The sequence below is a fragment of the Homo sapiens genome, chromosome 5, assembly GCF_000001405.40.
Source record: "Homo sapiens chromosome 5, GRCh38.p14 Primary Assembly".
Classification (NCBI taxonomy): domain Eukaryota; kingdom Metazoa; phylum Chordata; class Mammalia; order Primates; family Hominidae; genus Homo; species Homo sapiens.
Window position 1 is genome coordinate 116,433,698 of NC_000005.10, and position 9,857 is coordinate 116,443,554.

Below are 9,857 nucleotides of genomic sequence, written 5' to 3' on the forward strand. Positions count from 1 at the left end.
CACATATATATACACATACACATATAGACATATATACACACGCATATATATGCATATGTGTATATATACACACATATTTATATGCATATGTGTGTGTATATATATACACTTTCCCTTTTAAAAAAATTAAAACAATTTAAAAAATTTTAATTGACAGAGATGTTCAAAGTGTACAATGTGAAGATTTAATATGCATATATAGTGTAATCATTACATTAATCAAATTAATTAACACTTATCACCACCCATGCTGTACCTCAGATCCCCAAAACTTATCCATCTTATAACGGAACATTTGTAGCCCTTGACCAACATCTCCCTACTTCCCCTACCCTGTCAGCTCCTGGCTACCACCATTCTACTCTCTACTTCTATGAGTTCAACTGTTTTAAAGTCTACATCTAAGTGAGATCATGCAGTATTTGACTTTCTGTGTCTGATTTATTTCACTTAGCACAATGTCCTGCAGGTTCACCCATGTTGTCGCAAGTGACAGGAGACCCTTGTTCTTTATGGCTGAATAACATTCAGTTGTATATATGTACCAGAATTTGTTTATCCATTTATCCATTAATGGACACTTAGTTTGTATCCAAATCTTCGCTAGTGTGAATGTTGCCGCAATGAACACGGGGGTGCAGGTAGTGCTTCATCATATTGATTTCATTTCCTTTGAATATATGCCCAGAAGTGAGATTGCTGGATCATATGGTAGTTCTATTTTTAATTTTTTTGAGGAACCTCCATACGGTTTTCCATAATGGCTATACTAATTTACAGTTCCACCAACAGTGTACAAGGGGTCCCTTTTTCACACCCTCACCAACACTTGTTATATCTTCTCTTTTTCATAATAGCCATCTTAACAGGTGGGAGGTGATATATCATTGTGGTTTCAACTTGCATTTCTCTGATGATTAGTGATGTTTAGCAGTGTTTAATATAACTGTTGACCATTTGTATGTCTTCTTTGAAAAATGTCTCCTTGTGTCCTTTGTCCAATTTTTAATCAGGTTTTTTTTTTTTGCTTATGAGTTTTGTGAATTCCTTGTATATTTTGGATATTAATCCCTTTTCGGTATATGGTTTGCAAATACTTTCTCCCATTCCTTAGACTGCCTTTTCATTCTGCTGAGTGTTTCCTTTGCTGTGCAGAAGGTTTTCAGTTGTTAGTTTTATGTAGTCACACTTGTCTATTTTTGCTTTTGTTGCCTGGGCTCTTTTCTTTTCTTTTCTTCTCTTTTCTTTTTCTTTTTTTTTTTTTTTTTTTTTTTTTGACAGGGTTTCACTTTGTCACCCAGGCTGGAGTGCAGAGGTGTGATCTTGGCTCACTGCAATCTCCACCTCTCAGGTTAAAGTGATTCTCCTGCCTCAGCCACCTGAGTAGCTAGCATTGCAGCTGTGCACCACTACGTCCGGCTAAGTTATTATATTTTCAGTAGAAATGGGGTTTCACTGTGTTGGCCAGGCTGGTCTTGAACTCCTGGCCTCATATGATCCATCCGCCTCGGGTGGATCCCAAAGTGCTGGGATTACAAGCGTAAGCCACCACACCTGACCCATGCTGTTACTTTCTTATCAGAAAAATCATTGACAAACCATTGTCAAGGAACGTTTTCCCTATGTTTTCTTCTAGGAGTTTTACAGTTTCAGATGTTACGTTTAAGTCTTTAATCTCCCTTGTTTACAACAATAATGCACACTCCTGAATTTCAGAAGAGCACAGGGCCCTGAAGTGTGCATTTTCCAGCCTCCCTTGCTGCTCATTGTGGCCCTGGGATTATGTTCCTGCCCATGGGGTGTGAGCTAAGTGCTCCATGCAACCACTGGGGTTACCCCTTAAAAATGACTCAGCATGCTCTTGCACCCACTCTCTCTTTGGCCTTCCTATTGACTAAGAAATTGGCACAATTAGAAGAGCTGCTTGAACCTGAAATGGAAGCTACTCGCTGAAGACTAAAGAGCTGTCCCACAGTCCTGGACCATGGGCTTCTGGGCTGCTACATGAGAGTGAAATCAATTTCTATCTTTTTTTTTCAGCCTCCGCATTCTGGGATTACAATTTACAAGTCTGTACTTTAATAGACATGAGTATGGTCTCTTGCAATGAATCAGAAATTGGGACATATGTCTTGTACCCCTAGATCTGCCACAAATGAGCAGTGTGCATTTGAGCAACCTCTTATGTCTTGGTTTATTCTTCTTTAAAAGGTGGGTGTTGAACTAGATCTTTCAGCACCATGAGAAGTATAATAATGACCATCACATATTTGGTATAATGCTTTATCGTTGAAATAAGGCAGAGCTTTCTCCTTGTAAAGAATGTCACAAACTCTTGGGACAAGAGACAGGGATAAGTTTAGGACTGAGTAACTGCTACTTCTATCCAGACCATCTGTAGCTCAGAATGGAAACACCTGGGGCCTGGACAGGGCAGCACCACAGATGTGCTTAGGGAAAATGGCTGTGAGTGTACCAGTTCAAAGAGCATGGCACCAAAGTAGACAGGCAAGCCAAGGCCACCAGGTTTCATGTACTCATGTCCATGAGTGTAAGCCTCATGGACCGAACACAAGGAGTGTTTACAATTGTGCTTCCTTCAGTGCACCGTGGGCCTCATTCTCTAGGCCTCAGTGTCCTGGCTGGAGGCAAGAGTTTGGGCTGAGCAGTCAGGAAGAGCACCAGGTGGTAAAGGGAGGCAGAAGTCAGTGAGAATGAGGTAGTAGGGGGAGCTCCACTCCAGAGGCGGGGGCTTAGCATGGGACCAGATTGATGACTAGCTAAAAGAGAGCCTAAGCAGAAGCAGCTTTCAATCTTACACACCCACCAGTAGCCACATCCATTTGTCATTGCCATGGCAACACCTAAAGTGACCATCCCTTTCCATGGCAATGAACCAATGACCCCAAAGTTACTACCTCTGCCCTAGAAATTTCTGCATAAACCACCCCTTAATCTGCATGCAATTACAAGTGGGTATAAATATGACTGGAAACCCCTGAGCTGCTACCCTCTGCCTAAGGGGTAGTCCTGCACTGCAGGAGCAGTCATGGAGCTGTAACACTGCCTCTTCAATTAAGCTGTTTGCTTCTACCTCTGGCTTGCCCTTGAATTCTTTCCTGGGCAAAGCCAAGCACCCTCGTGGGCTAAGCTCCACTTTTGGCTCGCCTGCCCCGCATCAAGAGCACAACCAGCTCTCCCTGGACTCTTCATCTGGGAATGGACAAGGAAGACAGCATTACAGTGTGTGGAGCCCCCCAGGCCTTGATGTGGGCATCACGTGGCTGAGATGGCTTCATCTGTGAAAAGGAGCCAGAACTCTTTATCAGGCTAGGCAGGGCTTTTGTTTAACTGGTCCCTCTGGCTGCTTTTGTTGACAGATAAGGAGTATTTACGGAAGAGAAAAAAGACATTTTCATTATCAGCAGGATGGGAACTCAAAGTCATTTAATTTGAAGATATAGAAGGCTGGGATCTCATTTTATACACCACATTGGAGAAGAGGGGCATATCCTGTTAGAGAAGAGGTGGAACATTCACCTCATTTGACTTTTACACACTCCTGTGAGGTAGGCAGGGCAGCCATCATTAAGTCCATTGCACAGATGAGGAAAATGAGGTGCCAAGAATTTGAATGACTGCCCCAAATGATGACCCACAAATGGTGAGGCCGGCTCAGACTAGAACCCAGGCCCACAAGACTCATGACGTGATGCGTTTTCTTCTAAGCTACTTTGCCTTGTGGGAAGGGAAAACTCCAAGCTGCCAAATTAAGAATCACTGTCCCTAAGGGCTTTAGGGGCTGGCCTTTGTGGGGCTGGTCTTGGAGTACCTTGGCCTCACAACACACCTTCCCCGAGCCGCACTCATCCCTGAGCCCAAATCTGTCTGCTGCTCTGCCTAGGTAATTAGAGAGGATTGTTTTAGGTCACCCTTTCCTGAAGACAAAACAATCCCTTTGGTTTCTCGATTAGAAAGCCCAACAGATTGAGTGACAAGGAAAAGTTTTTGATCTTGCTATTACAGTCACCTAATTAAAATGAGATGCAGATGCTCCAACACCTAGTAATTTTCACCTCACTTACTTTGGCTTCAATTACAGCCCTTCCCTACTGACTTACACTGTTTAAATTACAAAGTTAGAAGGAAATATGACTATTTACCTGTTTCTATTCATACATATAAGTCTAACACATTATCTTTTCTCCCCAAGCATGAAATGTGATCACAGGCCTTCTCTTCACCCTGGAAATGAGGGGAATAAATCTTTGGTTCTTAAATAAAGTTAAACACAAATAAGAATTCAAATCAGCCAACACCTACATCAGTCTTCAAGAGACAACTTTGTTTCACACAACACACACACACACACACACCACTTTGGAATATATAATTTCCTTTCTAAAGTTGACTGGCTATGGACTCTGACCCTTCTGATCAGGGAAAGTTAATTGTTTCCAGAGTAGTTACCTTTATTGAGTACATAATTAAGTAATCATTGCAAGGCAGTTGGAATTACATATATATTTTATACCAGAGCTGCCATAATTGATTGCAACCAAGCCTCCCTATTCACTAAAAAGCATATTTGTGTTCTGAGAAAAGGCTTTGTTTACTACAAACAGGGCTTCAATTGTCTCACAAACAAACAGCAACAAGCAAACACAAAGAGAACAGTGGGAGTTCTAAGGAGAATGCCCATTTTCTCCTCCCTCTGAGTGGAATCTGTCTGAGGTCATCTGTCAAAGGGGTGAGTGGAAGATGCTGGCTTATTCAGAGTGCTGTAGCATAGGTCTGTATGATGACCAGCCAGGGACTGCTGCCCCAAGGGCAGGAGGAAGGCTGGGCACCCAAATTCAAGAAGATGGTGCTGCCTCTCTTGCACCGTGTGCACTTACAGCTCACTAAGTCAAGGAAGGCTTGTCTGTGTCAGTAGCAATGTGGAATGAGGGGTAGCAACATGGAGGAGGAAGACAGGTTCCTAAGCAGAGCTGAGCTCTGCCTTCTGTCTCCTACTGGAAGATTTTTCTAGGCACTCAACCAAATCATTCAATCGTCGATATCAGGGGTAAAGTCGGATGGTTGCTTTGGTACCCATTGTGCCAAAGTGACCATGAAGCTGAAGTGAAATGACAACAGTGGATATTTCTTACATGCCTCTTACTTTCAAACTAACTTTACCTCCGTGTTCTGTGACGGGGAGGCTGGACAAGTTCTTCACCCTTCTGGGTACAGGGCATTTCTTCTTCTCTGCTTTGATTCATCCTGGGTCCTTAGAAGCTTCTTAAAAGTTTTTTTGTGATTATCTGTGGCCTGGGCAGGATGAAGCAGCTACAAAAGCTGAGCCTTTCATCCTTTTTCTTTCACAGAGGCAGTTGGTGTTGCAGCCCCTAAAGTGTCAGGGTGCGCCCCCAGAAGGGAGGTCCTGACTTAGGCTCCAGCTCCCTCTTTTCCTGCTTTGTTGACAGTTCCTAATAACACTGCTGGCATCAGGGCTCTGCAGACGCAGGAAGGAAGAGATGTGTTCTTTAACGATGGAAAAATATTAGAGCACAATGCTCTCAAAATAGAATGTGTGTGCCTAGCCTTTATTTTGGGGACTTTATTGTTGTAACGGTCTCTCCTGGGAAATGCTGTAGGAGACTTTTCCCCTTCACTCAAGCGGAGTAATTGTGTAACCTAAGGTGTCCCCAAGACAGCTGAGGGGGGGTGATGTCGACACACAGGTTTTTGAAATATGACTACATTATTATGTTGATCAGTGCTCAATAGATCCCTTCTCTCTAAACTCCTGTTTCTTTGAAGTGGGGACAATCATATATATGCTGCCCACCCCACTAGGCTGTTATTAGGATTAAGCAATATAATGGACGAGATTGTATCTGCAAGCTGTAAAGTGCTACAAATGCAAAATGTCGTTGCTGGCAATTGGAAGCCCTGCCCCCTTCTAGGGGGTGGGGGGTACCCTTCCACTTTTCATTTTTTATTAAATAAACCTTAGCCATATTACTGAAATTCACACTTCTGCTTTGACATGGGACTAGATGTGCAAAATGTTCAGTATTCATGCCAGAGAACTGATACGAAGTTTTGCTAAGAGCAGCCCACTTTCTCAGCACCCCATAATGTGTGTGGTAAGGACAGTTGTCGTGATGCACAGGAAAAAAGAGAGTAGTTGGCTCATGAAATGGTTGTTCATCATCTTTCTCATCCTGGGAAACCCCTAGGAATCTGCATGAGTTTCTTTCATGTTAGTGTCCTGGCATTTGATATTTTATCCAATGTCACCCTCTTCTGTTTTTTTTTTTTTTTCCTCTTGAAATCCATCAATGAAAAGTGCTTCTGATTTCATGGTTACCCACTTTCCCCCTTCATTAGCTTCCCCTTATTTGGACCATTATTGCAGTCCGTTAGCAGGACGGATGACTTGCTTTGGGAATGACGTTAATGATTCTCAAGAGAGTCTTTTATCTGAAGGTGATTAGGAAGAATGAAAAAGTTGTTAGCTGCCTCAGCCAGTGCCAATGGGCTGGCAGGGACCTGTGTCTCGTCTCCTCTGCAAACGTCCTGGGTCCCATTTCTTAAACCATAGTTTATAACACTCACCTTTGACCAGAAAGTGCTTAGGTGGGACCCATGTTTTACCAGAGAAAGGGTAGAAAGCCCTCCCAAAAGGACCACTTGGTCAGTAGACATGGGTTCCAACCTCTGTGACATTTTTGATACTAGACACCAAGAGGAAAAAGCCCCGTGACATTTGTGCATGCACATGTGTGCATGGATGTGTTTGCAGAGGGGAATGGGAAACCCCCCACCATTCAGCTGCCTCTCTTGATTTGCTCAAATTTCATTTCCATTTGCTAGAGGGACATCTGCACGTTTCCCTGCCAGCCACATTTAATGCACATCAGTTCAGCCCTAACCCTCTGCAGAGGTCAACCGCCCCCTAACTCCAGGCATCCCCGGGGGGGTTAGAGTGAGGGATACACAATACTCTAAATGGAATATTGAAGATCCCCATCTGTCTGGCAGTCCCAATCAATAAATGTGAGCCCTTCCTTCCCACTTCTGTACAAGAGACAAGTCATCACCTGGTTTCAAGACAAGGGAGAGATGCGGGTTTCTAAGAGTTACTGAGTCCAAGCACCCAGCTGTCACAGGGCTGAGCCAGGAAAAGGATTATGCTCTTAATCATGTTATTTTGTTACTAAAGCGTTCTTTTAAATTCCCCTCACCACTTCCCCTCAAGCAAAATGTACCAGTGTCTGAAATTAGAGGTGCTTTTCTGACACTTTTACTTGCTGAATGACTTTTTGTTGAAAGAGCTTTTGTTCAGGCAGTAAAACCTAGGTGCTGGGGTCCAGGAGCATCTTATTTGGCTTCTGCCAAATTACAAGGCTGAACAATGAGACCAGTTTGTGTTTATCTGACATGGGCCTTTAGGAAAACATTCAGGTCCAAGATGTCATCTCTGATTCCATGAAACACCTAGCCTGGTAGCTGCATCAGGACAGCCACTGCTTTGGAGAAACAGTCTAAAAACCTTGTAACAATCAAGCTAGCAAGCAAACACAATTAAAAATCAGGGTTGTCTGAGGCAGTTTTCGTGTCTGAGCAGGGACATCCGGGGGGCCCCAGCTAAAATACTGGCTGCACCTGTTCAGCCTCTTTCACCTCTTCAGCAGCCCAGAACAAAGCTGACTGCAGCAAAAGCCACCAGATCAAGTATCAGGTTGCACTGCAGGGACTTTATACCTCAAGCCCATGTGATCCAAGCTTTTTTCCAACCCCATGCCTTGACCCAAATGAGGGGATCTAGGAAGCCCAGCTTGTGAAGGGTGGGTGTGTATGAAGGGCTTCCTGTGAGAAAGGATGACTGAGAAAGATGCAGATGCTGTCTAGATGGGTGAGCAGGATCAAGTCTTTCTAGCTAGTATTGCTCTACTGATCTGAATGAATTGGGGAAAGAGACCATGAATTTGTCTTCAGAATAGCTGCTCTACCACTAGTTTTGGAGCATGAGCAAATCCTTTCACTCAGTGGACCTCAACTTCCCCCAGTTTTTTGTTTTTTTGTTTTTTTTTGAGATGGAGTCTGCTCTGTTGCCAGGCTGGAGTGCAGTGGCACGATCTTGGCTCACTGCAGCCTCCGCCTGCAGGGTTCAAGTGAGTCCCCTGCCTCAGTCTCCTGAGTAGCTGGGACTCCAGGCACACGCTACCACGCCTGGCTAAATTTTGCCTTTTAGTAGAGGCGGGGTTTCACCATGTTGGCCAGGATGGTCTCGATCTCCTGACCTCGTGATCCGCCCACCTCGGCCTCGCAAAGCTTCCCCCATTTTTAAAATGAAAGGGTCATACTAGAGGTTGGCCATTCTGTCAGTTCTAGATAAGACATTTGGGTATAACCGGGCAGGGCTAACCTGTCAATTACATACAGTGGAAGTTCTTTCTGGCAAAAAGGACTCAGCTCTGTGACTGTTCCTTTTTGCATCTGAAATTGGATGTGCGGTTTTCACTTGTGTTGCTCTCACCCACTTGGCATGCCATCTGGCACACTGCCCAGCTGGCCTGCAGTCCCTCTCTAGGCCAATTCACTTCCCACATTATGGCCAGGTAGCTTTCCCAAGCACAAACGGTGTCTGTTGTTTTATTTACTCCAAAGCAAGGGAGCACTCCACTGCTTCAGCTAAATTCCTAGCATATGGGAACCAGGTCCCTCCTGGCCTGTCTCCAACCACCCTTTCCCAGACTTGCCCTGCCAAGCTCTCACAGATCCTGCACAAGGCCTGCTGAACCTTTTGTTTCCCAAAGAGCACACTTGGTGCCTTTGCAAAGGATGTCCCCTCTGCCTGAGCTAGTTGTTCAGAAAACTTGTTCTTTAAGAACCAGCACAAATATTGTTACCCTAACCTCTAGGGAGCTTCATCAGTACTTTGTTCGTACCTCCAAATGGCAACTACAAGGGCCATGTCGGTCTCTCTTTGCAAATGAGGAGGTAGAAACTATATTCTAGTCAACTTTGTGCCAGGCGCTATGGATGTAATTCAAGAAACACAATTGGAGATGGCAATCTAAAGGTTACTGGGCCACTATAGGTATGAACTGAGGCCTCAACCTGCAGCTTCCCACACTCAACTGACTTAAAGCATCAAAAAAAAAAAAAAAAAATTTCAGAGGGTCAAAAGTAAAATACTGTAGCTGAAGACTTATTTAAATAATTGTTTTAAAAACACCCCTAGAGGAAAACCTGACCTAGGCATTTCATAATGCTCTTTTGCAAAAGAAATAATGCTCTTTTTGCAAAATAATGCTCTTTTTGCCAAAGAAAAATCAAAGGCTGTGTCCCAATATACCTCCAATATACCCTCTGTGTTACAAAAGATAAATGCTAACAAGGAGTAAAATCCAGCCCCCTCCACCTTATTAATATGTAAGAAGACTGAAGTCACATCTGTGCAAGGATCTATTTTTAGTGGACCCTACATACTAAAATCCTAGCCTTGATCTCTTAAACTATCAAGCCTACCATAAATGTTTGATGATGAACAAGCCCATAAAAAGAAAATGCATAAAATGAATAGAAGGAGCCAATGCATGCTCTGCTTTTTAATTACCGGTGGCTTCTGCTAAAATCCTGCTCCAGGCTGGGTTTGAGCAGAGAAACACGTCAATAATTTGGGTGGGGGTGGCTGGGTGTGGACACTGCAAACAAATACATCAAACTATACCGTTATGTATGCTTTGGAAGCCAGATACAAATGGAGGAAAGAGTAGCATCATACCCACAAAGGGTGGGGAGGAGAGCAGCTTAAAAAGGAAAAATTAAGAGATAAATAAAAGCATTCAGGACACAAAAGA